This window comes from Homo sapiens, chromosome 11 (assembly GCF_000001405.40).
Source record: "Homo sapiens chromosome 11, GRCh38.p14 Primary Assembly".
In the NCBI taxonomy this organism is placed as follows: Eukaryota; Metazoa; Chordata; class Mammalia; order Primates; family Hominidae; genus Homo; species Homo sapiens.
In genome coordinates, this window is record NC_000011.10 from 123,057,003 (window position 1) to 123,084,879 (window position 27,877).

At 44.4% G+C, this 27,877-nt stretch overlaps 2 protein-coding genes, 1 long non-coding RNA gene and 3 other non-coding genes across 8 annotated transcripts in view, besides 5 other annotated features; 1 reads left to right on the forward strand and 5 right to left on the reverse strand.

Moving 5' to 3' along the window:
- HSPA8 (heat shock protein family A (Hsp70) member 8) lies at positions 487–5,460 on the reverse strand. Of its 3 annotated transcripts, none has more exons than XM_011542798.2 (9): positions 5,345–5,460; positions 4,118–4,327; positions 3,591–3,796; positions 3,114–3,266; positions 2,471–3,026; positions 2,057–2,259; positions 1,630–1,828; positions 1,250–1,482; positions 487–917 (listed from the first exon to the last, which is right to left on the reverse strand). In XM_011542798.2, exons 2-9 carry the CDS (start codon positions 4,320–4,322, stop codon positions 732–734), a joined length of 1,941 nt encoding a protein of 646 aa, XP_011541100.1. In that variant the 5' UTR covers positions 4,323–4,327; positions 5,345–5,460; the 3' UTR covers positions 487–731. The 3 variants fall into 3 exon arrangements, with proteins under 3 accessions (XP_011541100.1, NP_006588.1, NP_694881.1); NM_006597.6 differs by lacking the exon at positions 5,345–5,460 and adding an exon at positions 5,062–5,134; NM_153201.4 differs by lacking the exons at positions 1,250–1,482; positions 5,345–5,460 and adding an exon at positions 5,062–5,134 and having other exon boundaries at positions 487–826; positions 1,765–1,828.
- Positions 1,075–1,154, reverse strand: SNORD14E (small nucleolar RNA, C/D box 14E). Its single transcript, NR_003125.2, has one exon. It is a non-coding gene; the product is annotated as a small nucleolar RNA, C/D box 14E (small nucleolar RNA).
- SNORD14D (small nucleolar RNA, C/D box 14D) lies at positions 1,907–1,993 on the reverse strand. The gene has a single exon (NR_001454.2). It is a non-coding gene; the product is annotated as a small nucleolar RNA, C/D box 14D (small nucleolar RNA).
- On the reverse strand, positions 2,333–2,420 carry SNORD14C (small nucleolar RNA, C/D box 14C). Its single transcript, NR_001453.2, has one exon. It is a non-coding gene; the product is annotated as a small nucleolar RNA, C/D box 14C (small nucleolar RNA).
- Positions 4,883–5,052: an enhancer, noted in NCBI's record as "active region_5675". NCBI's record gives its function as "activates an Ori minimal core promoter by ATAC-STARR-seq in GM12878 lymphoblastoid cells {active_cell/tissue: GM12878}" and the evidence as "EXISTENCE:reporter gene assay evidence [ECO:0000049][PMID:35858748]".
- Positions 5,203–5,592: a silencer, noted in NCBI's record as "silent region_4011". NCBI's record gives its function as "represses an Ori minimal core promoter by ATAC-STARR-seq in GM12878 lymphoblastoid cells {active_cell/tissue: GM12878}" and the evidence as "EXISTENCE:reporter gene assay evidence [ECO:0000049][PMID:35858748]".
- Positions 5,613–5,882: an enhancer, noted in NCBI's record as "active region_5676". NCBI's record gives its function as "activates an Ori minimal core promoter by ATAC-STARR-seq in GM12878 lymphoblastoid cells {active_cell/tissue: GM12878}" and the evidence as "EXISTENCE:reporter gene assay evidence [ECO:0000049][PMID:35858748]".
- LOC124902775 (uncharacterized) lies at positions 5,660–27,875 on the forward strand. Its single transcript, XR_007062927.1, has 2 exons — positions 5,660–6,529; positions 26,012–27,875. It is a non-coding gene; the product is annotated as an uncharacterized LOC124902775 (long non-coding RNA).
- Positions 11,455–11,504: a silencer, noted in NCBI's record as "silent region_4012". NCBI's record gives its function as "represses an Ori minimal core promoter by ATAC-STARR-seq in GM12878 lymphoblastoid cells {active_cell/tissue: GM12878}" and the evidence as "EXISTENCE:reporter gene assay evidence [ECO:0000049][PMID:35858748]".
- The window catches only part of CLMP (CXADR like cell adhesion molecule), a 125,377-nt gene continuing 110,369 nt past the window's right edge, over positions 12,870–27,877 (reverse strand). The window contains exons 3-7 of the mRNA NM_024769.5: positions 27,510–27,711; positions 26,678–26,845; positions 26,083–26,205; positions 17,700–17,841; positions 12,870–16,772 (exon numbers count right to left, since the gene is read on the reverse strand). Of these exons, the coding sequence (NP_079045.1) occupies positions 16,472–16,772; positions 17,700–17,841; positions 26,083–26,205; positions 26,678–26,845; positions 27,510–27,711 (936 nt within the window). The 3' untranslated portion in view covers positions 12,870–16,471. The remainder of the gene's footprint in view (positions 16,773–17,699; positions 17,842–26,082; positions 26,206–26,677; positions 26,846–27,509; positions 27,712–27,877) is intronic.
- Positions 26,619–26,913: an enhancer, noted in NCBI's record as "tiled region #9139; HepG2 Activating DNase unmatched - State 9:DNaseU, and K562 Activating DNase unmatched - State 8:EnhW". NCBI's record gives its function as "activates a minimal TATA promoter and a strong SV40 promoter by Sharpr-MPRA in HepG2 and K562 cells {active_cell/tissue: HepG2 | K562}" and the evidence as "EXISTENCE:reporter gene assay evidence [ECO:0000049][PMID:27701403]".

A 27,877-nucleotide genomic window follows, 5' to 3' on the forward strand; every position in this document is an offset into this window, starting at 1 on the left:
GTGGCAGCTTAGCTCCATCCCCGACCTTCTGAATAATCTTAACTCAGGAAGAAATGGAAGCCCACAGGGCAGTGGCTCATATAAGGGATTGACATTCAGATACCTCTGCCATGTAGCTTAATATTCACTGCCCATTATTTGATTCTGATCTCTAAATTCTTACTCATCTAGCACAACCCTCCAGGAAAGCCTCTGCTCCTAGGCAGGCTTACACACAGAATAAGTTTAGAAAACACCATTAAGTCAGCTTTCTGCCTCTCCAGCCTAAGGACTAAGGTTAGTTTGATCCAGATCCAATTTCTTATGCTCCCCTTCTCAAAGCTCTGAATTCCAAAATGTACCATCCACAATGCTCTGAAGGGCAACTTGCCACCCAGCCCTTGTTAACTCAAGCTTAAGAGGAAGGAGAAAGTAAGAGTCACATAATCACCTAAGCCTACTTCTCCCACCAGCTGGCCTGGGAGATTATTTAAAGACTCAAAGCAATTGTATGGTGCCAATTTTAAATAGTTTTATTTAAGACATTGCATTTTCCACTTACAATACAGTGTTTATAAAGTGCAATGTTATTTCCTTCCCCTGTGCATATGTTCCATATTCAAGTATTGAGAATGCCCAGTAACTTACTATAGCAGCTTAACTTTTTAAAACTGCCACAGAATTTGCTACGAATTTAGGTCCTTCAAATGTTTTAAATGTGTGGAACAATGCTACATCTACACTTGGTTGGCTTAATCAACCTCTTCAATGGTGGGCCCTGAGGAAGCACCACCAGAGGGAGGAGCTCCACCACCAGGAAATCCCCCAGGCATTCCTCCTGGCATGCCTCCTGCACTCTGGTACAGCTTGGTGATGATGGGGTTGCAAACTTTCTCCAGCTCTTTCTGTTGATGTTCAAATTCTTCCTTCTCAGCAGTCTGAGGAAGAGAAAAAGGAATTACTGCAAGTTCTTTTAATGTTAATAACCCTTCTTTCTCCCTGACGCAATCTGATACTAAAAGTCTGGCGCAAACTCTTACAAGAGGGCCACTACCAACATTAAAATAGGGCCTTATTCTTCCTTAACATCTTGGGTCACTCAGACATCCAAGGAAGGTAGTTGCCAACACCTTGAATTCTGGTGGAAACCGCGAATGTTTTGGACCATTCATCATTGTGACCCTACACTGAAATCCAGCTCAAGCTTGGTTTACCATCCCCTTCCCCTCCATTGAGTGGGGGAGGAAAAAAAAAAAAAAAAAACACAAACCTGATTCTTATCAAGCCAGTTGATAATTTCATTACACTTGTCCAGAATCTTCTGTTTGTCCTCATCGTTAATCTTGCCTTGAAGTTTCTCATCTTCAACAGTTGCTTTCATGTTGAAGGCATAGGACTCAAGTGAATTCTTGGATGACACCTTGTCCCTCTGCTTCTCATCTTCAGCTTTGTACTTCTCAGCTTCCTGGACCATACGTTCAATGTCTTCCTTGCTCAAACGGCCTAGGAAAGAAATTAACTCTAAGTAAAAGCCTTAAATTACCTGTGTATGTGTAACTCTAGTTTCTCTTAGCTAGACGCCCTTAGGCACCAGTAACTCAATTGAAATACCATTATCCCTGTCAAGACCAGATGACAGTGCCTCCTTACCCTTGTCATTAGTGATAGTAATCTTGTTCTCTTTTCCCGTACTCTTGTCCACAGCAGAGACATTGAGTATACCATTGGCATCAATGTCAAAAGTGACTTCAATCTGAGGAACACCTCGGGGTGCAGGAGGTATGCCTGTGAGTTCAAACTTGCCAAGCAGGTTGTTATCCTTTGTCATGGCACGCTCGCCTTCATAAACCTTGGTAGGAAATAAAACAAATTACTACAATGGACTCCAGGTCTGTGACAGTGCTAGGGTCCTGCTAAGGAAGAATGGTCGCTCAAACATCCAAGGAAGGAACTGGCCAACATAAGACTTTCTGGTGGAAACTACGAATGGTTTTGGAATCCATCATCATAGCGAGTCAGTCAAGACTTCCCTTTATCTGTTATCAGTAAGCCAAACAAGAGAAGTACAGAAACATACCTGAATAAGCACACCAGGCTGGTTGTCAGAATAGGTAGTGAAGGTCTGTGTCTGCTTGGTAGGAATGGTGGTATTACGCTTGATGAGGACAGTCATGACTCCACCAGCAGTTTCAATACCAAGGGAAAGAGGAGTGACATCCAAGAGCAGCAAATCTTGAACATTCTCAGACTTGTCTCCAGACAAGATGGCTGCCTGGACAGCTAGCAAACAAAAAGTTAACGTTAAAAGAAGTTAAAAGAAAACCCAGTACATAGCTCCTGTTTTAACTATCACTCGCTCAGACATCCAAGGAAGGTGTTGCCATCATTAGCCAAGCTTTTGGTGGAAACTACGAATGTTTAACAATCACTCATCACAGCGAGTCACCTTGGGCCTGCCTGCCTTTAGGGTTAATTGAGATACCATTGTTACCTGCACCATAAGCAACAGCTTCATCAGGGTTGATGCTCTTATTCAGTTCTTTTCCATTGAAGAAGTCTTGGAGAAGCTTCTGAATCTTGGGGATACGAGTAGAACCACCAACCAGGACAATATCATGAATCTGTGACTTGTCTAGTTTGGCATCTCGAAGGGCTTTCTCTACTGGGTCCAGGGTGCCACGGAACAGGTCAGCATTCAGTTCTTCAAATCGGGCACGGGTAATGGAGGTATAGAAGTCGATTCCTTCATAGAGAGAATCGATCTCAATACTGGCCTGGGTGCTGGAAGAGAGGGTACGCTTAGCACGTTCACAAGCAGTACGGAGGCGTCTTACAGCTCTCTTGTTCTCACTGATGTCCTTCTTATGCTTGCGCTTAAACTCAGCAATAAAATGGTTGACCATTCGGTTGTCAAAATCTTCTCCACCCAAGTGGGTGTCTCCAGCTGTAGACTTGACCTCAAAGATTCCATCCTCAATAGTGAGGATTGACACATCAAAAGTGCCACCTCCCAGGTCAAAGATGAGCACGTTTCTTTCTGCTCCAACCTGCCGTTAAAAACAATCTCATTTAAATTTACGATGGATCAAATTAATCTTAAAATAATCCGAACTTGCATCACAAATGGTACATACCTTTTTGTCTAAGCCGTAAGCAATAGCAGCAGCAGTTGGCTCATTAATAATTCTAAGTACATTGAGACCAGCAATAGTTCCAGCATCTTTGGTAGCCTGACGCTGAGAGTCATTAAAGTAAGCTGGCACTGTGACCACAGCATTGGTAACAGTCTAGGAATAAGGAAAAGACCACAGATTGGTAACTATTATACTTACATATATGCAAACTCCAGCAAATGGATTAATGCTGGTGAAAGAACAGCTGGAGCACCCCCCCCACCAAAATGTAAATTACTGTGTAATTGTCAAGATTCACTGGTTTCTGGTGTTGACAGACCCATCTACCTAGAGAGCCTAGGGCACTGTTGGGCACGTGGTCTTAACCCTGAGCTGAGCCCCATCTGTTCCCCTCCCTCGCCAGGTGCCAGTGCCCCCGGGAGTCATCGGGCTTTTAACTACTCCGGAATGCACCCCATACTGAAAAACCAACCTCACCTTCCCAAGGTAGGCTTCTGCAATTTCCTTCATCTTTGTCAGAACCATAGAAGACACCTCCTCTGGATAGAAGCTTTTGGTCTCTCCCTTGTATTCTACTTGGACCTTGGGCCTGCCAGCATCATTCACCACCATAAAGGGCCAATGTTTCATATCAGACTGGACAACAGCATCATCAAATCTGCGTCCAATCAGACGTTTGGCATCTGTAAAAGGTGTCAAATGAAAACACTTTCAATTTCATAGCTCTTCTGATAAAACTCAAGTCCATGATTACTCAAATACCTAACAGTTCATAGGTAGGTGAATTCAACTACCATATAGGTAGCAAAGGTTCAAACTTCAACCTCCTACGTTATCCAGATTTCAGCCTGAAAGGTTTCTACAACCTGTTTTATAACAGACTTGATAACAAGTCTCTCAGCTCAGTTTTTCTAAAATCAAAAAGTTCCCTCCTCACGTTTCATAAACTTTTGTGCTTCCTAGCCCTGTTATATTTGTTCTGTCATTTAAAATTAGGAACTCACCAAAAACTGTGTTGGTGGGGTTCATTGCAACTTGATTCTTTGCGGCATCACCGATCAACCGTTCAGTGTCCGTAAAGGCGACATAGCTTGGAGTGGTTCGGTTTCCCTGATCATTGGCAATTATCTCGACTTTTCCGTGCTGGAAAACACCCACACAAGAGTAGGTGGTGCCAAGATCAATACCAACTGCAGGTCCCTTGGACATGGTTGCTGAAAAAAAGAAAAATCTGGTTTAAAAATTCAATTAATCAAAATATTTCCCTCATCCCTTAACAGAACACTTAACCAGGAAAAACGTATGGCCACTGCCAAGAGGTAATAGTGCCCATCACCTCCTGTCTAAGCACGCGCGAGGTCCAGAACTAGTGCTGCAGTCCAGGTTGCCGTGCCAACCGCAGCAGAGCACGCCCTAGATGAAGGACCCATCTACCCAGACGGCGTGGGGCGTTGCTCAACACGTGGTCTTACCCCGAACTGAGCACTGTCTGTTCCCCTCCCTCGCCAGGTGCCAGTGCCCCCGGGAGTCAACGGGCTTTTAACTACTCCGGAATGTACCCCCATACTGGAAGCACGCCAAGAACAGCTCTGAAGAACCACGGTGGGACTGGACTAAGCAGGGAACTGGGTGAAAGAAAACGCTGGCTCCACTTCCCCGCGCGCCAGGCAAACCGATGCAGCAACCCTCCCCCGCCACGCGGCCGCCGGGCGTCTCCCAGCCTCCCCTGGGGCCACTGCGGCCCACTCCCTACATTTCCGTCCTGCCGGCTGCAACCAAATACCGCTGCCATCCCACCGAAAACTGAGGCCCTTTAAGCCGGTAGAAGGAGCCGCACACTCGCCTCGACGAGATTCTCAGAACCCCCAAGCCTCAGCAAGCCCAACAGGCCTGTGTGGAGGCTGCACGCTCCCAGACCCACAACCCAACTCTTGAGCAGAGGTTTTACCTGGGGTGTAGGCCTGGCTCCAATAACGAAGGAAGCCACAAAAAACCCAAGAGCTGCAGGCGAGTTCAATGAGACCGGTTTCCGCCCGCCACCCTGCCTCTTATACCCTATCTTAGAACCTTCCAGAAGGGGCCCGCCCCTGCTGCCTGCCATTACGGCTTCCCCGGCCAATAGACGCCCGGCTGCCCTTACAAGACCCAATCACAAGCCCGGCTCCACTCCTCGGGCCTCGCCCCCTTCCGCACCCACCCCACCGCGCTCCGCCTCACGATAACGCACTCACCGCAGCGTTCTGGAACTTTCAAGCTCGCCCCCGCTCTCCGGACGGCCCCGGGGAAAGGGAGGGTGGGGCGCAGCGAGTCCGCGCGCGGGAGTCCTCAGTTACCCCGGGCGGGGGAGGGGAGCGTCCACCTCTACGCATGCGCCCCCAGCTTCCGCGGGAGGGAGGGGGCGGAAAAAGGAGGAGGAAGAGGGGCGGGCAAACTTGGAACTAACCAATGATAGCGGCGCTAGCCGGGATCTTGGCCGGCACAGAACTGGGGGCGGAATCGCGCGGGGCCTGAAGGGAGGGGTTTGGGCGCGGGAGCCGGGCAGGAGAAGACGGAAGTGGAGCGAGGACAAAATGGCTGCGAAGGTTGTTGCTCCCCTCCCCCACCCACGTCCGAATCCTCCTTTCCATGCCCCACCTTCGTGTTCCAGACGGGCCTCTAAGTGCCCCGGGTTTCGCGAATCTGTATTTCATAGCGTGGCTTTGGACAAGGGCTGACCCCGAGGGGCTGGGGCGAAGGTTCCGGCTTCAGGGTGCCACTAGGGCTGCTCGCTCACGGCCCCCCAGGATTGGGATTGGAGGGAGCCGCCAGGCCGCCGCGGGGTGGGGCGGGTTAGCTCGGCAGGCCTCCCAGCACCTGCATTTCCCTACGGCAACTGTCGGGAGGCAGCCCCCGACGCAGAGGTTTAAGGGGCCCGGCTTTTCAGAACCGCCTCAGGACGCGGTCGTGTCTGGATCCCTCCGCGGAAAAGAAGGCGAAACCGCTTCTCTGAGCCCTGACCGTTAGGCCCCTTCCCACCTCCGTCTAGAACAGATTCGGCTTCTTGGCTCAGTCCTTCCCCAACTAGCCCAAGCCCTACATTTCCCCGTTGTTTATAAAATAAACAGGTTTAAATGGTGGCGAGTGTGTTCTTGGTTAGGTGAACCAGGCATTAGGAATCATAGGTTCCAGTAGCCGTGCGTCCTTGATTTAGACTTTCTGAACGTTTGTATTTTCAGTAACATGAGGTGATATCTTTCCTGGTTTGACTTTCATCAAAAATTAAACGACAGACCATACCGACGCTTTGAAAACGTGACTGAGCTGGTGCACAAAACAATGGTGCCTAGAATTTTGAATTGTGCAATGTTGTGCATGGCCGCGGATATGTGGGGCCTTGTGGTTCCAAGAGCCTGTCTCAGGTACCTTGAACACTCCCTGTATCCTTTCAAGCAGGCGAGGTAGCTGTTATTCCTATTTAGTAGATAAATAGGCACCGATGGGGGAAAAGATTTTTTAAGGCTACACCAAAAGAACTTTTAGTAGCAGGGCTGGAATTAGAAGGTCTCTAGACTGCGAAAAAGGCTGTCAGAAGAGCGAGGACATCTTGTCCTTGTCAAAGCCAGTAAAGGGTAGAGACAGACTCAAACATATGAAGAATTTCCTTTTCATATTTTCCTTTTGGGGAGGAATGTTGGCTTAGAGTTCATGGAGATATATTCTTAGCCTCTCCCACGTCCCAAGAATTTAATTTTATACAATGCTTTCACTACATACAAAATGCTTTCATTTGTCATTTAATCATCAACACAATTCTCTAAGGTGTGTATTATTCATCCCCATATCAGGGGAAAAATGCAGCTCAGAGATAATCATTTGTGGGAAGATAAGCAGCTGGGTAAGCTAGAATCAAATCTAGCTTTTTTTTGGTTCAAGATTTGTTTTATGTTTTTTGTTAGTTACGCTACAGTGTAATTTCCTTCCTGGAAATAAATTGAACTCAACTCCAGAAAGAGTTAAGATATGTACTGTGAGCCACTGTTTTCAGTTTCCTTTGGTATTTGGAACCCCCAGTCCCCCACGCTAACTGCTAGTAATGTTATCTGGAATCTTTCTTTTCACACCCCAGTGCCTAGAGTTTAACAAGCACAAATTTTAAACTACACCCTGTGCTGTATTTTGCGTTTTTGTAATTATTTTAATCATTGAATAGTGGAAAATAGAATTGGGGCGCACATCCACTTGTTTGGGATATCCCATCCAATAGCAGTGATAAAAGAAAGCAGAACAAATAACCTCTGTTTCTGGTTACTCTCAAAACGCGTTCTGGGACTTGGGCTATGTCTTATTAAATGGAATGATTTACCGTTTATATATTTAAAGCTCAGAATATGATAAAGGTCCTGTCTCCACCACTTCAAACGCACAGGGTTTCAAATGACACAGTTAAGATCTAAAATTAAAGTTTGGTTGCATGGGACTGCAGTGGAGCCTAGAGCCTAGGACTTCTGACTGGATAAAAGGATAATGATTTAACATTTTTGTGTGCCTACCACATGCCAGCCTTAACCTCATTTAATTCTCACCGTAAATCTAAGCGGTAGCAACTATTATGATCGTCATTTTGTAAATGGGGAAACTAAGGCACGACTCCGTCTCCCAAAAAAGACAGTCTCCCAATGGAGTCTCCCAGAAAAGATGGAGTCTCGCTCTGTCCCCCAGGCTGGAGTGCAGTGGCAGGAACTTGGCTCACTGCGACCTCCGCCTCCCAGGTTCAAGTGATTCCCCTGCCTCAGCCTCGCGAGTAGCTGAGACTACAGGTGCATGCCACCACGCCCGGCTAATTTTTCTATTTTAGTAGACGGGGTTTCACCATATTGGCCAGGCTGGTCTCAAACTCCTGTCCTCAGGTAATCCGCCTGCCTCGGCCTCCCAAAGTGCTGGGATTACAGGCATGAGCTACCACGCCTGGCCTGTTTTTTTTGTTTTTTTTTTTTATGTGGAGTCTATAACTGTCATCCAGGCTGGAGTGCAGTGCTGTGATCTTGGCTCACTGCAACCTCCGCCTCCTGGGTTCAAGCAATTCTCCTGCCTCAGCCTCCCAAGTAGCTGAGATTAGAGGCCCGCACCACCACCACGCCCCGCTAATTTTTGTTATTTTTAGTAGGGACGGGGTTTCACCATGTTGGTCAGACTGGTCTCAGGCCTCAAGTAATCTTCCCACCTCGGCCTCCCAAAGTGCTGGGATTACAGGAGTGAGCCGCCGTGCTGGCCTCAGTTTATGAAGAAATTATTTAATAGTTTTGTGGTATCAGTTGCTTCTGTTGAAAAGTCTCAACCAGCCTAGGCAAAATAGTGAGACCCCCATCTCTGAAAAAATGAGATGGGAGGATCGCTTGAGCTCAAGAGGTGGAGAATGCAGTGAGCCATGGTTGTGCCCCTGCACTCCAGCCTGAGTGACGGAGCAAAACCCTGTCTCAAAAAACAAAAAAAAATGAAAAAAATTTAAGGTTTAGAATTTAATTGGATAATTTGTGTTAGGATTATGTGGTGTACTGTTACTAAGTATGCATTTTTAAAAAATTAGTATTAAAGAATAGTAAACTTACAGTCCCTTGCTTTAAAAACTCAGATATTAAAAACAATCCTCCTGTGACCCGGTGACATGACTAAAAGATGCAATATATGTATGCCCTGATTGCCCAAATACTGGAGTGTATGTACTGCATTGCATCAGGGAAATTTGAAACCAGAATGATGTAAGCTGTTATTAATATTTTGATTTCTAACTGCAGCCATGTATAAATTATTGCAACTGGAGAACAGCATACATAAACATAGCCCCAATATCTTTTTCCTGCATTATGCTTTACCTTCCTAAACCAGATTATACGCTTTAGAACATTCTCATGCCTATTGTATTTCTGGTAGTAGAGCCCTTGCCATTGATGTTTTATTCAGTGCTTTATGCAGGGCACCATGCTAAGCATTTGACATATATTCTCTTACATGACCCTCACAACTATTTTTGGCAGATCATATTGTCCGCATTTTCAGGTAAAGAAATTGAGGTTCAAATAGGTCAAATAATTTGCTTAAGATCTCTAGCTGACCCTGAATTTTTCAAAATCAGATTTTATTCTACAGCTTATGCTTCTAACTCAGGCTAGGTTGCTTTCTACTTTCAAACTCTTAGTCATCTTGTTTAGCCCCTGCACTATGGAGAGGAGGTGCGGTATAAAATGCGCTCTTGGCCAGGCACTGTAATCCCAGCATTTTGGGAGGCCAAAGCTGGTAGATGGCTTGAGCCCAGGAGTTCAAGGCCAGCCTGGGCAACATAAGGAGACCCCATCTCTACAAAAAATACAAAAATTAGCTGGGCGTGTTGGCATGTGCCTGTAGTCCCAGGTACTCGGGAGGCTGAGGTGGGAAGATGGTTTGAGCCTGGGAGGTTGAGGCTGCAGTGAGCCGTGATTGTGCCACTGAGCTCCAGCCTGGGCGACAGAGTGAGAACCTGTCTCTTAAAGAAAAAAAAGGTGCTCCTTATTATTTTAATTTTTTTTTTTTAATCTGAGATGGAGTCTCACTGTCACCCAGTCTGGAGTGCAATGGTGCAATCTCAGCTCACTGCAGCCTCCCCCTCCTGGGTTCAAGCAGTTCTCCTGCCTCAGCCTCCTGAGTAGATGGGATTACAGGCGCACACCACCATGCCCGGCTAATTTTTTTAGCATTTTTAGTAGAGAGGGGTTTTCGCCATGTTGGTCAGTCTGGTCTCGAACTCCTGACCTCATGATCCACCCGCCTCGGCCTCCCAAAGTGCTGGGACTCAGGCGTGAGCCACTGCGCCCCGCCTATTTTAATTTAAAATTTTTTTCAGAGCAGCTTAATTTTTAATATTTATTTATTTATTTATTTATTTATTTTTTGAGATGGAGTTTCACTTTTGTCGCCCAGGCTGGAGTGCGATGGCGCAATCTCAGCTCACTGCAACCTCCGCCTCCCAGGTTTAAGCAATTCTCCTGCCTCAGCCTCCCAAGTAGCTGGGATTACAGGCATGTGCTACCATGCCCAGCTAATTTTTTCTATTTTTAGTAGGGATGGGGTTTCTCCATGTTGGTCAGGCTGGTCTCGAACTCCTGACCTCAGGTGATCCACCCGCCTCAGCCTCCCAAAGTGCTGGGATGACAGGCGTGAGCCACTGCACCCGGCTAATTTTTAAGATTTTTTTTTGGCTGGGCGCGGTGGCTCACGCCTGTCATCCCAGCACTTTGGGAGGCCAAGGCAGGAGGATCACAAGGTCAAGAGATCGAGACTATCCTGGCCAACATGCTGAAACGCTGTTTCTACTAAAAATACAAAAATTAGCTGGGCATGGTGGCACGCACCTCTAGTCCCAGCTTCTCAGGAGGCTGAGGGAGGAGAATCACTTGAACCCAGGAGGTGGAGGCTACAGTGAGTCAAGATCACACCACTGCATTCCAGCCTGGCAACAGAGCAAGACTCCGTCTCAAAAAAAAAAAAAAAAAAAAAGTTTTTTTTTTTGTTTGTTTGTTTTCCTTTTGCAGAGATGGGGTCTTACTGTGTTGCCCAAGCTGGTCTCAAACTCCTGGACTCGAGCAATCCTCCTGCTTTGGCCTTCCAAAGTGCTAGGTTTACAGGCAAGAGCCACTGTGGCTGGCCCTAATTTTTAAATTGTTTTACTAATTGAAATCTTTAGCAGAGCTGCTTACAAGTAGCCAAACTCATTGAGTTTTCCTTTTTTATAACTTACTTTTCCATCCACAAGTGGTAACAAAAACATATGATATAAAAGATGACAGAGGGCTGGGTACAGTGGCTCACGCCTGTAATCCCAGCACTTTGGGAGGCTGGCGGATCACCTGAGGTCAGGAGTTGGAGACCAGCCTGGCTTACATGGTGAAAGCCCATCTCTGCTAAAAATACAAAAATTAGCCAGGCGTGATGGTGTGCGCCTGTAGTCCCAGCTACTCGGGAGGCTGAGGCAGGAGAATCGCTTGAACCCAGGAGGCGGAGGTTGCAGCAGTGAGCCAAGATCACACCACTGCACTCCAGCCTGGGCAACAGAGTGAGACTGCGTCTCAAAAAAAAAAAAAAAAAAAAAAGAAGTAAATAATTGTAAACATAATTACTAAACATGGGGTCCTTGAACTGTATAATTTTTTTTTTTTTTTGAGAGTCTTGCTCTGTCACCCAGGCTGGAGTGGAGTGGTACGATCTCCGCTCACTGCAACCTCCACCTCCCGGGTTCAAGTGATTGACCTGCCTCAGCCTCCCGAGTAGTTGGGACCACAGGCATGTGCCACCACGCCCAGCTAGTTTTTGTATTTTTAGTAGAGATGGAGTTTCACCATCGTGGCCAGGCTGGTCTTGAACTCTTGACCTCAAGTGATCCACCTACCTCAGCCTCCCAAAGTGTTGGAATTACAGGCGTGAGCCATGGCCCCCAGCCTACATTTTAAATAAATTGATATGACTGTATCATCTTTGAAGAATCAACTGTACCTATTATTTTGTAGTTTTAATGTACCTTATCTTTTTGCCTCTCAGAAGATTGGACAGATTTAATCTTGATGTGCTCAAGATACTCTGTGCTTAACATTCAACAAAAATTACATGATCTAAGCCCATCATTACCATGTAAAGACAAATCAGGCAATTATAAAATTGGGAATTGTATCTTGTTTTGCAGAACAAGGGAAAACTAAAGGATTTGGACTTGTGTGAGTGAGCTAAGTGTGTCCCAAGTATGGTGAACAGCTTTAGGTCAAGGAAGAAAGCAAAGAGGAGAGAAAGCCTATAGCTGAGTGTAAAAGTTTGAGGATTTCAGGAGGGAAGATGATGATGAATCAGGATCTGTCAGTTCTGATGGAATATACTAACAGTGGCTGGGTTTAAATCCTGGCTCCAGGGCCGGGCACAGTGGCTCATGCCTGTAATCCCAGCACTGGAAGGCTGAGATGGGCGGATCATGAAGTCAGGAGATTGAGACCATCCTGGCTAACGGTGAAACCCGTCGCTACTAAAAATACAAAAAATTAGCCAGGCGTGGTGGCAGGCGCCTGTTGTCCCAGGTACTCGGGTGGCTGAGGCAGGAGAATGGCGTGAACCCGGGAGGCGGAGCTTGCAGTGAGCTGAGATTGTGCCACTGCACTCCAGCCTGGGCGACAAAGCTAGACTCGGTCTCAAAATAAAAATAAAAGTGAAAATAAATGCTGGCTCTACTACTGACTTAACCTCTTTGAGCCTTACATTTCTCACTTGTAGAATGTGAATACAAATATTTCCTTATAGGGTTGATGTGAGTATGACATTGAGACAAAATGTATAATGTACTTAGTGTGACTGGCACGTGATGGCTCAGTAAGTGATGATTACTATTATTGCTGCTATTTTGCAATGACCTCTGTGAAGTTTTTTCCAGATGTATTTGAATCTCTTAGTGCATACTTTTCAGATTTATTTGAACCCCTTAGTGTGTGCTTCTCTGTTGGCACTTCACCTAGGCACAAAATACTTACTTAGTAATTATTATTTCATTAATTTTGATAAATCCTTAAGGACAGCAACTCTTGGTATCCCCTGTGCAACTTATACCTAGCATCTTGCCTTGTGAGAGAAAAAAGTAATTGGTAAATTCGTGACTGAAATTGATAAATAATAGATCGTATTCAGTCTGAGTTCTTCTGTTCTTCTGTTGGCAGCAAGCTGATAAACAAATTTCCATTCCAGGTTATATGAGCTTCAGCTTCTCCTACAGTATCACTTTTACTTGTTTATTTTTTAATTGCTGATACAGATGCATCCATAATAAATATTTGGTTTTTGTGATGCTGAAACACAGTCCCAATTACAAGGCAACTTAGAAGTTAAAACTGAAACTGAAATATAAACAGCTTAACACCAGAAGGAAGCAAAACTATATATGTCTTTTTGCAACAGCAGTTCCGAAATTGTTTTTATACACTGTAACAACAAAGGTACCAACTTCCTTATTTCACAAATTTAAGTTTGGTTTATATATTTTATTGACATGGTTACTCAATGTCCACATCATTCCATCTGCATCGTCTTCCTACAAACAGTTTTTCTTCTACTATTCGGTTATTTCTCCTTTTTTTGTTTCCTATTTCAGAATCAAATTTATTTTACTTGCAAAGTCAGTGGAATATGGTTTGGAACCAGTAGGGCCTCTAACTTAAGCCCAGAACCTGTCAAAGAGAAGTGCAGTATCATTGCTAAGACTTGAACAGTTTATCTCTCAGAATCTTCAGTTCCTTTGAATTTCTCAGCTCTTAGTGTAATCTGTTTTATGTGTTTGTTGTAGACTTCCATTATGGATAGATTTCCAAAATAATTTGGGTAATCAACTGGTATTTTAGCATTCTGGTAACTAACATGTTTAAAAATCTAAGGCTCTTTTTCATGCAAAGGAGACTGATTTTTGCTTTCAAAAGCATAGGCAGGAAACCTTAGGTTCAAAGGTAGTAAATAATGATGAGCAAATTGCTAGTGATGATACAGCTGCAGCTTCCGTTGTGTATTTGTTTGGCTCAGGTACTCTAGAAATGAGAATTCTTAGAATTACATAGCAGAAGTGATATGTTGCCTGGATACCACACTACCAGAGGAATAAAAATGTAGTTAGAGTAAGGGGTTTTATATTTTACAATGAGACAGTGTTAGTGTAAGAAGCATTCCAAATACGCCAGTTCTCTTAAACCCATAGCAGACATTTATATGTTAATTCCTCAATGTCTCATTTCCCACCTTTTTTAGAGGAAGAAAATACTCAGGCTAAAACTTTCACCCAAGCATAAACTCCTGGGGACTTTACAAGAATTTTGTTTTTTGCACTATGTGACGACACGATTGTGAGAATTAAATATAGGAGTGAAAAACCAGAGAAATGGGGCAAAATCCCAGATTAGTCTTTCCTCTTTAAGCATCTGCTTCCCATTTTAGAAACATGCTTTCATCACCACATTCAGCATCAATTTTTTTCTTTCCTCTAACCTGCTCTTCTTTTAAAAAGTATTCTGGGCCGGGCATGGTGGCTCACACCTGTAATCCTAGCACTTTGTGGGGCCGAGGTGGGTGGATCACCTGAGGTCAGGCGTTTTGAGACCAGCCTGGTCAACATGGCGAAACCCCATCTCTACTAAAAATACAAAAATTAGCTGTACGTGGTGGCGCACACCTATAATCCAAGCTACTTGGGGGACTGAGGAAGGAGAATCGCTTGAACTCGGGAGGTGGAGGTCGCAGTGAGCCGAGATACGCCACTGCACTCCAGCCTGCGTGATGAGAGCAAGACTGCATCTCAAAAAAAAAAGTATTCTGAGCCAGGTGCAGTGGCTTCCAGCACTGTGGGAGGCCAAGGGTGGGTAGGTCACTTGAGGTCAGGAGCTTGAGACAAGCCTGGCCAACATGGAGAAACCCTGTCTCTATCAGAACTCCAAAAATTAGCTGGGTGTGATGGCAGGCACCTGTAATACCAGCGACTCAGGAGGACAAGGCAGGAGAATCACTTGAACCCAAGAGGCGGACGCTGCAGTGAGCTGAGATGGTGCCACTGCACTCCAGCCTGGGCAACAGAGCGAGACTTCGTCTCAAAAAAAAAAAAGTTTTCTACTCTCCCAGAGGTGATCAGTTGACATTTGTGCTAGGGTCCTTGAAGAGCTGATTCAGGTCCAGCATTTGTGCTGTAGGTATCAAGAGTAATCAAAACTATTAAAAAGGCAAGTTATTGTATTGCAGGCTGCTGTTTTCTTTATTTCTCAAACATCTTTCTTCTCCCATTCATCAACTCTTCAGCAGCTATCCTGGTGAGTTATTTTTGCTAAATCTTTCCAAGATACAACTAAAATGTTAGCAGGCACTAGCTCAGCCCTCTCCTGCCACCCACTACTTATTCTCATCTCTTCCCTAAATATTAGTACCCTTTTCTTCCAGCCCAGAGCTAGACTTCTGGATGCTGAGCCTGGGAAAATACTGAATTTCTCTCATTTTTCACTTTTAGGAGGGAACGGTTATGGCATATACTTGCAGTGCCATTAGAAGCATTGGCAATCCCTGATCTTTTTGATAGTTTAAGGCTTAGAATCATCAAAAGTTCCAGGTTCATATCCTTCTAAAATGGAAGAAATGGAGGAAGTTCCAAGTGTGGTACAATACTGAACTTCCTTTTATCCTTCCTTGATTTTTTTTTTTTTTTGAGATGGAGTCTTGCTTTGTCACCCAGGCTGGAGTGCAATGGCATAATCTTGGCTCACTGCAACCTCCACCTGCTGGATTTTCCTACAGGTGCCTGGCACCATGCCCGGCTACCTTCCTTGACATATTAAGAGAAAACTGATCTAATCTCCCTTTCTAGTCCACCCAGTCTTGCAATTCTGGTTTCACATTTTCTCAGAAAGAAGAGACTATAATGGTATGTTGGGTAATCTTTCAGCATTCCTAGATCCCTTTTTCTCTAGAAGAATTCTTTCTAAGGACGTTGATAAATGACATGTTGTATTTTCTCCTTCCAGAAATATCTAGCAGGAAAGTCCTTAGAGGCATCTGATTTGAGGGGAAATCCACAATTGCTCCATTATATATTTCTAATGTTTGTCAACAATCCTCATAACATCATGAAGATGGAAAGCTCTTCACAATCCTTTGTCACAAATTTTTGTCTCCTTTCATAGTTATTTTGGGCTCAATACAAATAGTGAGATTAGTATAGAGTGGGAGAAACTCATTCACTCTTCTCCATCTCCCACTATTTCAACTCCCCTTGAAATTAATATCCAAACCTTATGACAAATGAAGTTAAGTCAGAATAGAAGACACATGTTTCCTTTTTTGGAGTTTCTTAGAAGTGGTTAGCTCAGTACATGGTGTAGACAGGTGTAATAAGGCTGTGGGTTCTGCTTGACTGTCTGAATAACTAATAATCCAATAAGTTTGCAGAAATGCATAGAAAATTTACAAACAGCATCCCATTTCCTCTTGAAAATTGTGAATCAAAGCACTGATACAAAATATCCCACATTAAAAGTTTTAGGTATATTCACCTCACCTTTCCCCAACCTTCTCACCACAGGTCCTGGTCAACAAATAGATTTGGACTCCTGCTTTCCCTTACTCTGGTCTAAAGGCACAATAAGATGCCTTTTTACAGATGAATCAGCTTACATCCTTTTGCTTGTTTGGTATTGTATAAGGAAAATGCTCATCTGAATCTGTTCCGTGCAATGCTCACTGCTACTTAGATGACCTCTCATCTGGTTGTGTGGCTGGTGACTTGAGCTCCAATGACGAGAAGAGTCCAAAGACCCTGACTCCTAGGAAAGCGTGGGAGTCAAGTCCATTGTAATTCAGACCGTTTGGAAGGCTCTGCTCTGGCTGGGGATCATGCTGGGTGTGGTTTCTGCTTTGGTCAGATTAGCATGGTGGACTTTCTTTGGTTCAGAACCTCTCACCTCTGGCCCCACTAGGCTGTATGCCTGGGTGGCCAGCCCTGGCTGGGGTGCTGCGTCAGTTGACAGTGTCCGCTGGCTGCGTGAGGCACTATTTGCTGTGGAGCGAGTGGAGGAAGAACCAGAGCGTGAGCTCCGAGAGCCTGAGGAAGAGGAGCTGGGTTTCACAAGACGGGCTTTTGGAGCTTCAGCATCTTCTCTGAAGAGAAAAAACAGCAAAGATTAACACTGGCAGATCTGTGATTGCTTCCAGTATGATTGCTTCCTTCTGAGGTTTCCGAAGCTGTGAACCTCAGATAATACCATCGGAAGGCAACCATTTAGGGTCATAGGTGCTTCCTCGTATCTTAAGACTTAATGCTTGGCTCACACAAATGTATATTTTGTTAGCCCACAGGTCAACTCTATTATACTGGGAGGATAGGACCTTACCATTGAGATGGTCTAGACAGCACACCTCCTGATTTAGGGTTTGTCTGCATAAACCCTTTCATGACCTATAGGCTATGTCCATTCTTCATTGTATGCCCATTATGGGTAGAAGTGAATCAGAAGTAATGTAAATTGAACTGTTTTATGTATATACATATGTACATACTTTTTTTTTTTTTTTTTTTGAGACATGCTCTTTCTCTGTCACCCAGGCTGGAGTACAGAGGTGCAATCATGGCTCACTGTAGTCTTAAACTCCTGGGCTAAAGTCATCCTCCTGTCTCAGCCTCCTGAGTAGCTGGGACTACAGGCATGGGCTACCATGCCTGGTTATTTATTTATTTATTTTTCTTTTGTAAAGATGGAGTCTAACTATGTTGACAAGGCTGGTTTCAAACTCCTGGCCTCAAGTAATCCTCCCGCCTCGGCCTCCCAAAGTGCTGGGATTACAGGCATGACCTACCACGCCCAGCCTAATTTAACTTTTAAGTGTTTGTTGAGGATAAGATAGTTTCACAATAAAGTCCAGGTAAACCATACCCTCTGTCCCTAGGCTGGAACTTCCTACCTACCAGGATAATCCTTTTAACAGATTCATGGTTAAGAGAAAACTGGGAACATTTATGTTGGCTGGTCACTATAGTGCTGGCCCTAAAACAGAAGCCCCGTAAAAGTAGGGATGTGGGAGGTTTACCGAATTTCATTAGGTCTCTCTTCTTCCTCATATCTTTCTTTGTCTTTCCTTCGGATTAGCAGCCACACCAAGAGGAAAATCAGCAGGGCTCCAGCCACTATGCCTGTCACTGCTCCTGCAACCATGCCGATGCTTTGTACATCTATTTTCTCAGAAGCAAAAGCACAAGTAAAACCAAACGTAAGCTAGGAAATATGTTATTAACTCAAAAAACATAAGCTCTGGACAGAATGAGTATTTGCAGGTTTGTTTGTTTTGTTTTTTTTTTTTTGAGACGGAGTTTCACTCTTGTTGCCCAGGCTGGGGTGCAGTGGCATGATCTCGGCTCATCGCAACCTCCACCTCCTGGGTTCAAGTGATTCTCCTGCCTCAACCTCTTGAGTAGCTGGGATCACAGGCGTGCACCACCACGCCCGGCTAATTTTGTATTTTTAGTAGAAACGGTATTCTCTATGTTGGTCAGGCTGGTCGCAAACTCCCGACCTCAGGTGATCCACCAGACTCAGCCTCCGAAAGTGCTGGGATTACAGGCGGGAGCCACCGCGCCGACCTCCAGGTCTTTATATCTATCTTCCTGAGTAGTACTGCATTACTCTCTCTTATTGTATGACCAACCCTCTTGATATATTTGCAGTTGTAGTTACTGAATCACAGACTTCGCCAGCAAGTGGCCAGGGTTTTTGTTTGTTTGTTTGTTTGTTTTGAGAGGGAGTCTCGCTGTGTCCCCCAGACTGGAGTGCAGTGACGCGATCTCGGCTCACTGCAAGCTCCGCCTCCCGGATTCACGCCATTCTCCTGCCTCAGCCTCCCGAGTAGCTGGGACTACAGACGCCCGCCACCACGCCCGGCTAGTTTTTTTGTATTTTTAGTAGAGACGGGGTTTCACCGTGTTAGCCAGGATGGTCTTGACCTCCTGACCTCGTGATCCGCCCTCCTCGTTCTCCCAAAGTGCTGGGATTACAGGAGTGAGCCACCGCGCGCAACCAAGTGGTTATGTTTTAGTGAATAAGTCTGGGTGGGTTCAGATGGTAAAACTGGGCTGGGAGAGAAATCATAGCATGTCTGAAGATTTGTCTGCCTTAATAGGATAACATTTGGGCATTCCTCTGGCTCTGCCGACTTCCCTGTTTTCTCTAACATCTCTCTTCTCCCACCAGTCATATAAAAGGGAATGTAAGAAAATTTTTTTGGCTGGGCACAGTGCCTCAGGCCTGTAATCCCAGCACTTTGGGAGGCTGACGTGGGCGGATCACTTGAGGTCAGGAGTTCGAGACCGGCCTGGCCAACATGGCAAAACCCCGTCTCTACTAAAAATACAAAAGTTATCTGGGCATGGTGGCACACGCCTATAATCCCAGCTACTCGGGAGGTTAAGGCAGGAGAATCACTTGAACCTGGGAGGCAGAGGTTGTAGTGAGCCGACATCATGCTACTGCACTCCATCAAGACTCTGTCTCAAAAAAAAAAAATTTTGAGTAGAATAAAAGTTGATTTTTAAAAATGGAATATAACCTATAATGTTAGACTCTGTGGAATTTGACATTGGATCCTAGAATTTAAGAAGTTAAGGTAAATACAATTTGTAGTTTAGCAATACACCCTTTTTCATATACCAAATATTTATTTCAGTGCCTACCCTGAGCCAGGCAGTTATAGGCACTGTTGAAGACCAGCAAGTTTTCTGCTTTTGTTGAGTTTTCATTCCAGAAGGGAAACAGATAATAAACAAGTAAATAAAGATAATTTCAGATAATGGATAAATTCCATGAAGGCAAAATTGGATGAGTGAATTTTAGAGGGGTAATGGAGGGATACCACTTAAGTTTGGGTGATTAAGACTTTGAGGAGGTGACATTTGAGTTGAGGCATATATGATATAAAGGACGATCTTGTGATTATCTAGGAACAGAGCATTCCAGGCAGAAAACAGCAAGTACAATTAATGTGAGTGGGTCTGGAGCATAGTGAGCAAGGGAGAGTAGAGGGAGATGAGGTCACAGAGACAGGAAAGGACCAGCCCACATAGGCCATGGCAAAAATTTTAATGTGAGAGCAATAAAAGAGTAACACAATCTGAATTATATCTGAGACAGTACACCATGGCTGCTCTAGGGAAAATAAATAGTGGAGAAGTAGGAAAGAAAGCAGGGACATTGGCTAGGAGGCGTATAATAGTGCAGGCTGGAGATCATGATGGATTAGGCTAGGATGAAAGTAATGTATATAGAAACAAGTACATGGATATTGCCTATATTTTGGAAGTCTAATCAACAGAATTTGCTATTTATTCTTTTTTTTTTTTTTTTTTTTTTTTGAGATGGAGTTTCGCTCTTGTTGCCCAGGCTGGAGTGCAATGGCGCGATCTCAGCTCACTGCAACCTCCGCGTCCCGGGTTCAAGTGATTCTCCTGCCTCAGTTTCCTAAGTAGCTGGGATTACCGGCGTGCACCACCATGGCCAGCTAATTATTGTATTTTTAGTAGAGACAGGGTTTCACCATGTCAGCCAGGCTGGTTTCGAACTCCTGACCTCAGGTGATCTACCCCCCGCCTTGGCCTCCCAAAGTGCTGGGATTTCAGGCGTGAGCCACTGCACCCAGCCTATTTATTCTTATAAAAACAAAATGATACAATTATTTATTTATTTTTAAGACAGAGTTTTGCTCTTGTTGCCCAGGCTGGAATGCAATGGTGCGATCTTGGCTTACCGCAACCTCTGCCTCCCGGGTTCAAGTGATTCTCCTGCCTCAACTTCCTGAGTAGCTGGGATTACAGGCATGCGCCACCACTCCTGGCTAATTTTGTATTTTTAGTAGAGATGGGATTTCTCATGTTGGTCAGGCTGGTCTCAAACTCCTGACCTCAAGTGATCCGCCCACCTCCATCAAAGTGTTGGGGTTACAGGTGTGAGCCACATGCCCAGCCAAAATTTCATTTTTTAAAGAAATTGGACTTTGGATATTTTTATTTAAGGTCTCAAAGGAATGGAGTTATTTTACCTGAGTAATTTCAAATAGAGGATGCTGTTTTCCCCACTGCCCCAGCTCCAGGACACATAATCTAGATGGATTGTCTGTTAATGGAAATTTAGGTCACTTTCAATTTTTCACAATGGAAAATAATATATCTCAGTGCTGTGGCTCACGCCTGTAATCTCAGCACTTCGGGAAGGTGAGGCAGGTGGATCACTTGATGCCAGGAGTTCGAGACCAGCCTGGCCAACATGGTAAGACCCCGTCTCTACTAAAAATGCAAAAATCAGCTGGGTGTGGTGTGCAGGCCTGTAATCCTAGCTCCTCAGGAAGCTGAGGCAGGAGAAGTGCTTGAACCTGGGAGGCGGAGGTTGCAGTGAGCCGAGATCGCACCATTGCACTCCAGCCTGTGCAACAAGAGTGAAACTCTGTCTCAAAAAAAAAGAAAAAAAAATCATTATTTTCCATATGTATTTGGACACTTGGGGCATGTCTCTAAAAGATAAATTCACAGAAATATTACTGGATAAAATGGAATGCAATTTTGCATCTGAAATAAAATGAATAATTGTATAGTTATATAATGAAATACTATAAAACAATGAAAAATGACATACTCTAGCTATAAGCAACAACAATGATGAGTCTCAAAAATATAATGGGGAATTAAAGAAACCAGACAAAATGGAATGATTCTGTTTATTTAAAGTTTTGAGACAGGAAAAGTAATCCATAAAGTTAGAAACCTGGATTATGGAGAGGTAGCAGGAGTCAGAAACAGGTTCTTTTTTTTGAGCCAGAGTCTCACTCTGTTGCCCAGGCTGGAGTGCAGTGGCACAATCTCGGCTCACTGCAACTTCTGTCTCCCAGGTTCAAGTGATTTTCCTACCTCAGCCTCCCGAGTAGCTGGGATTAGAGGTGTGCACCACCATGCCCAGCTAAGTTTTGTTTTTTTGTGTTTTTTTTGGTTTTTTTTGTTTTTTTTTTTTTTGAGACAGAGTCCTGCTCTGTCGCCTAGGCTGGAGTGCAGTGGCGGGATCTCGGCTCACTGCAAGCTCCACCTCCCGGGTTCACACCATTCTCCTGCCTCAGCCTCCCGAGTAGCTGGGACTACAGGTGCCTGCCACCACGCCCAGCTAATTTTTTGTATTTTTAGTAGAGATGGCGTTTCACCATGTTAGCCAGGATGGTCTCGATCTCTTGACCTCGTGATCCACCTGCCTCGGCCTCCCAAAGTGCTGGGATTATAGGCGTGAGTCACCGTGCCCGGCAAGTTTTATATTTTTAGTAGAGCTGGGGTTTTGGCATGTTGGTCAGGCTGGTCTCAAACTCCTGACCTCAGGTGATGCGCCCAGCTTGGCCTCCCAGAGTGCTGGGATTACAGGCATGAGCCACCGTGCCTGGCCAGAAACAGGTTCTTAATCATGATACTGGTTACACAGTTATCTTCACTTTTGAAAATCTATCAAGTTGTACACTTATCCTTCTTCTTTGTATAAGTTTTACTTTAATATATTTACCCCTCAGAAATCTATAGATAAATCTAAATTGTGCTACTAATGTATATGTTAGTCAAAAATGTAAAAGCACCTGTTTCCTCATAACCTTTCTAATATAGATTCTACAGTTTTTATATTTACTAAACTGATAGCTTAAAATTAAAAGGGTGATTTTTTTTTCTCAACCTAGTGGGGAAAAAAGGATTTTTGGGGGCCTCTTTATTCATGTTTATTCACCATTTTTTATTTCTTTTCCTGAAAACTGCCTGTTACTTTTTTTGTTTTGTTTTGTTTTGTTTTTGAGACGGAGTCTCTCTCTGTCACCCAGGCTGGAGTGCAGTGGCCTGATCTCAGCTTACTGCAACCTCCACCTCCCAGGGTCAAGCGATTCTCCTACCTTAACCTCCCGAGTAGCTGGGATTACAGGCATGCCCAGCTAATTTTTTGTGTGTTTTTAGTAGAGACGGGGTTTCACCATGCTGGCCAGGCTGGTCTCAAACTCCTGACCTCGTGATCCGCCCGCCTCGACCTCCCAAAGTGCTGGGATTACAGGCGTGAGCCACTGCACCCGGCCTGACTGTTGTGTTTTTAAGAAAAATTATCTAAACTTGGAAATAGACAAAAGAACTACAGAACTTGGCAATTTACAACTCTGTAGGGGCAACTTGTAGACCTCTGTCTAGTAGAGATGGAAATAATTTATCCACCAGTTAAACAGATGACCCCAGGAATTAGTCTGCGACTTCGTAGCTCGATGTCAAATCCAGCAATCTGTTAATAGTAATAATAGCTAGTGTTACTGAACACCCACCATGTGTGAAGCCCTGTTCCTAGGCTTGACTGGTGTTGGATGATCTGCCTCTGAAATGGCTCATTCACATGGCTGTTGGCTGGAGGCCTCAGTTTCCTCACTTAAAATAAAACATAAAACATGGGCCTCTATATAAGGCTCTTAAAGCAGCTGGCTTCCCATAAAGTGAGTGATCTAAGAGAGAGAGGATCTGAGTGATCTGAGATCTAAGAGATCTAACATCTAAGAAAGCAAACTGCAGTGCTTTTGCAGATGCAACATACCATCACTTCTGCTGTATTATACTCATCAGAAGTGAGTCACTAAGTTCAGATCACACTCAAAAAGAGGAGAATGAAGGTGTACTTTTTTTTTTTTTTTTTTGGAGATGGAGTTTCGCTCTTGTTGCCCAGGCTGGAGTGAGTGGCACAATCTAGGCTCACTACAACTTCCACCTCCCGGGTTCAAGTGATTCTCCTGCCTTGGCCTCCCAAGTAGCTGGGATTACGGGCATGTGCCACCACGCCCAGCTAATTTTCTATTTTTAGTAGAGATGGGGTTTCACCCTGTTGGTCAGGCTGGTCTCGAACTCCCAACTTCAAGTGATCTGCCCGCCTTGGCCTCCCAAAGTGTTGGGATTACAGGTGTGAGCCACTGCGCCTCGACAAAGGTATATCTCTTGAAGGGAGAAGTAGCAAATCATTACTTGGACATATTTTTAAAACCACCAGAATGCAAATTCTAATAAGTAGAGTATATAAATACATAATAAAGAACTCTTTCAAATCAGTGGGAAAACAGCTAAACCAAAATAGGCACAGAATGTTGAAGTATAACTTTGAAAAAAGTAAAATACTGATTCCGACAAATTAAAGGTTTTATTTAACTTATTAATAAGGGGGCGCTGGGTGTGGTGGCTCACACCTGTGATCCCAGCACTTTGGGAGGCCGAGGTGGGCGGATCACGAGGTCAGTAGTTTGAGACCAGCCCGGCCAACATAGTGAAACCCCGTCTCTACTACTAAAAATACAAGAATTAGCCAGGTGTGGTGGCACACACCTGTAGTCCCAGCTACTCGCTACTCGGGAGGCTGAAGCGGGAGAATCGCTTGAACCTGGGAGGTGGAGGTGGCAATGAGCCAAGACCACGCCATTGCACTGCAGCCTGGGTGACAGAGTGAGACTCTGTCTCAAAAAAACAAAAAACAAAAAAAAACCAACAACAAAAAAAAACAGGGTGGGGGTTAGGAAAATGTTAAAAGTGGTCCAAAGAGCATTTGAGAAATTAGAGACAATTTAACAAAGATGTTATGGAGACAATGTAACAAAGATTAATATCCATGCCCTGCTTCCTTTTGTCTTTCAACTTGGTTTATCCTGTCTTTTTTCAAGACTCAATCTCTAGATTATAAGCCTGGCATACTATTTATTGCACCAAATAAATTTTAACACTGCAAACATGGCTTGTGGATATAGGATTTGGTCAAAAGTCTGAAGTTACTAAATTGATTAAGGAGAAATAATAATAATAGCTAATGTTACTGAACACCCACTGTATGTCAAGCCCTGTTCCTAGGCAGTTGTAAGTAAATGTGTTCATTTACTAACTTTTCAGAAAAACTCTAAGAGGCCAGGTGGCGTTGCGCATGCCGGTAATCGCAGCACTCTGGGAGGTGAAGAAGGGTGGATCGCCTAAGTCCAGGAGTTCAAGACCAGCCTGGCCAATGTGGCAAAACCCTGTCTCTACAAAAATTAGCCAGGTGTGACGGCATGTGCCTGTAATTCCAGCTACTCAGGAGGCTGAGGCAGGAGAGTCGCTTGAACCCGGGAGGCAGAGGCTGCAGTAAGCCAAGATCACACCACTGCACTCCAGCCTGGGTGACAGAGCAAGACCCTGTCCAGAAAAAAAAAAAAAAAGGAAAAAAAGAAAAACTCTATGAGACAGTTAACTATTATTCTCCTTTATAGATTGGGAAATATGCCTAAGGTACTACAGAGTTAGTGGTAGCTGTGATTGAAATCCAGGCAGTTATCTGACTCCACGGCTGATGCTCTTAGTCGCCTACTACTGTCTCTCATCTGTACTTGAAGCAAATCAAATTCTTGATTATAACACATGTACACACGTGTGTGTGCATGAGCACATGCACATACACACTCACAAACACTCTGTGGAGGGGAGAAATCTCATCTACTTGCCTAGAATGGTAGTGGCATATAACTAACTAGCTGCACGGTTTTGTTTGTTTTTGTTTTTAGGAATGGTGTTTATTTAGTACTCCCCTGGATATAGTGAATTTCTTTAGGGGGCTGGCTAATTCACATGTTTGTAAATACAGAGTCAACTGGTGTGTTTTTGTTTTTTTTGGTTGGAGTCTCGCCCTGTTGTCCAGGCTGGAGTGCAATGGCACCATCTCGGCTCACTGCAACCTCCGTGTCTCAGGTTAAAGCAATTCTTCTGCCTCAGCCTCCTGAGTAGCTGGGATTACAGGCACGCATCAGCACACCTGGCTCATTTTTTGTCTTTTAGTAGAGATGGGGTTTCACCATGTTGGTCAGGCTGAACTCCTGACCTCGTGATCTGCCTGCCTCGGCCTCCCGAAGTGCTGGGATTACAGGCATGAGCCGCCACGCTGGGCTGGTTTTTTTTGTGTGTGTTTTTTTTTTTGAGAGGGAGTCTCAGTCTGTCACCCAGACTGGAGTGCAGTGGCGTGATCTTGGCTCACTGCAACCTCCGCCTCCCAGGTTCAGGAGATTTTCCTGCCTCAGCTTCCTGAGTAGCTGAGATTACAGGCGCCCACCACACCCAGCTAATTTTTGTATTTTAGTAGAAACGGGGTTTCACCATGTTAGCCAGGCTGGTCTCAAACTCCTGACCTCAACTGATCTGCCCACCTGGCCCTCCCAAAGTGCTGGGATTACAGGTGTGAGCCACTGTGCCTGGCCAGTCAATTGTTGAGTGGTCTTTGCAACTACTGAATTTATTTTGGTGATAGCCATATCCTTCTGGAGATAAAGATTTTGACCTTAACCTTACTCTTACTTATGATTAGAATGTCTTAACATTGATCTACAATGCAAAAACAAACAGAAAAATGAAACTAAAACCTCTTTGGATGCTTACACTGTACAGTTACTCGCACCACACAGCTTTCCTTCCCAGCTTCGTTGCCTGCTGTGCACTGGTACAGTCCAGAGTAGGACATGGTAAGATTCTGCAGCAGAACTCGTCCAGGGTGGTTGTAGTCTGCACAAGCAGAAAGAATGACTGTAAATCCCTTTAGTGATGGTATCTATATTTATTGTTTACTTTATTGTATCACTGAGCTGAGATTCCGTAATGCTATTTGATAAGAATGAAATGATGGAAAAGATATCCTTTGGGAACATGAGAAGAAAGGTAAACATTTTTTTTAAGTTGTAGCACATCCTCAAAAGTTACAAAAGATTGTGAACATTTAAGGGATACTAAACATAATATTTAGATATAGTGGATTTATGTAGTACATTTCTTCCAATCTCTTTTACTACTTTTACATGTCATTTGAGGAAAGGAAAGACAGATTTTCTGTTCTAGTTAATGGATTTTAAAAATGGCAGTTCAGGAGGTTCAGCAGGGTATTTCAGGTCACATAGTGAGTTGCTGAGAAAGCTGATTTAGAGCTCACGGATAGAGGACTATTTTGTTGGCTCAATAGATTGGTAGGAAGATGACTTACCAATCCTAGATTTGGGAGGCAGACGTTCATCCTCTCCCTCTTTCTCTCGGATTCGCTGCCAGTAATACACAATGGGCTCTGTGCCAGAGGATGACTCACACTGCAAAGTCAGGTCACTTCCTTCTGTCAGCTCTCCTTCCAACTCACACTTGGGCTTGGATGGTCTCACTGGCAACAGCAACAACAAGCAAAAGTGTAGTGATTCAAAGATCCCCAAACACCAGATTCAATGGAAAAATTATGTCCTATTGAGTTGCTTCTCCAGCCATCTGTTTTGGTCAACTTTTGAGTGGGGATTCAACTAGCCTTGCTTTACACTACCCCCACCAAAACATCCACCTCCATCCCCTAAGCACACATACCCGCAACTCCAGTGGTGCTGTTTTAATTTTTGGGGCAGAGGCTGCCTCATTACTTCTCAAAGAAGACACATTATTATTGGACATTTTAGGAAAGTTGAGCATGGTTTTACTGATACAGAAGTGTATTAATTTGGAAGCAATTAAGTAGAACTTGGTAGCTCTTGCTGTCAAAAAACAGAAATGAATTTGAATCATATCTGAGAGACTTAAATATGAAGATCCCACTTAAATATTAGAGAATATGTTTTGTAATGGACAACTATGGAAAATTGCTCTTATATTTTCATTTTTTATTATGGCTATAATACAGAAGATACACATTTCTTTCCAGGGAACTGGACGAGGTGACCTCTGAATGTGTAATCCAAAGTACTGAACATGATGTTTTGTACCACCGTGATGCATATGGCTATCCCTCTTAGATACCTTAGAAATAAGCTGTAGACATTCACTTTGGCATCCTATCTTACCTAAGACTTTTAAGATGACATGGCTCCACACGTAGCGCCCTGAATTCTTAACCTTACAGGTGTACCGGCCCTCATCACTGGGCTTCAGAGGTTCAATCTGCAAGGAGGCATCTCCTGCCAGGAAATTGGAAGCAAAGGCCACTCGGCCCTTCTGTTCCTCAGTCAAGTTATTGTAGACATGACGACTGGAGTAAGTGATCACCTGTGGGATAGACCGAGGCAGAGTCAAGCAGCGTAACTCTCAGCCTGCCTTTCCTGATGGTGTGAAGAAGAGGAAAGGGAGTACTCCCAGTGGCACAAAGTAGTCAAGCCTGGGGCTGAGAGTCCAAGAGACCTCTGTTCTAAATAAAAGTTAAAAATACAGTACA

Bases quoted from the DNA above. Each gene is read 5' to 3' on its own strand.
- HSPA8 (XM_011542798.2), bottom strand. From the start codon at position 4,322: ATGTCCAAGGGACCTGCAGTTGGTATTGATCTTGGCACCACCTACTCT. The intron at 3,027-3,113 runs GTATGTACCATT...TTTTAACGGCAG, and splicing joins CTTACGGCTTAGACAAAAAG to GTTGGAGCAGAAAGAAACGT. The intron at 1,829-2,056 runs GTATGTTTCTGT...TTTCCTACCAAG, and splicing joins AGCCTGGTGTGCTTATTCAG to GTTTATGAAGGCGAGCGTGC.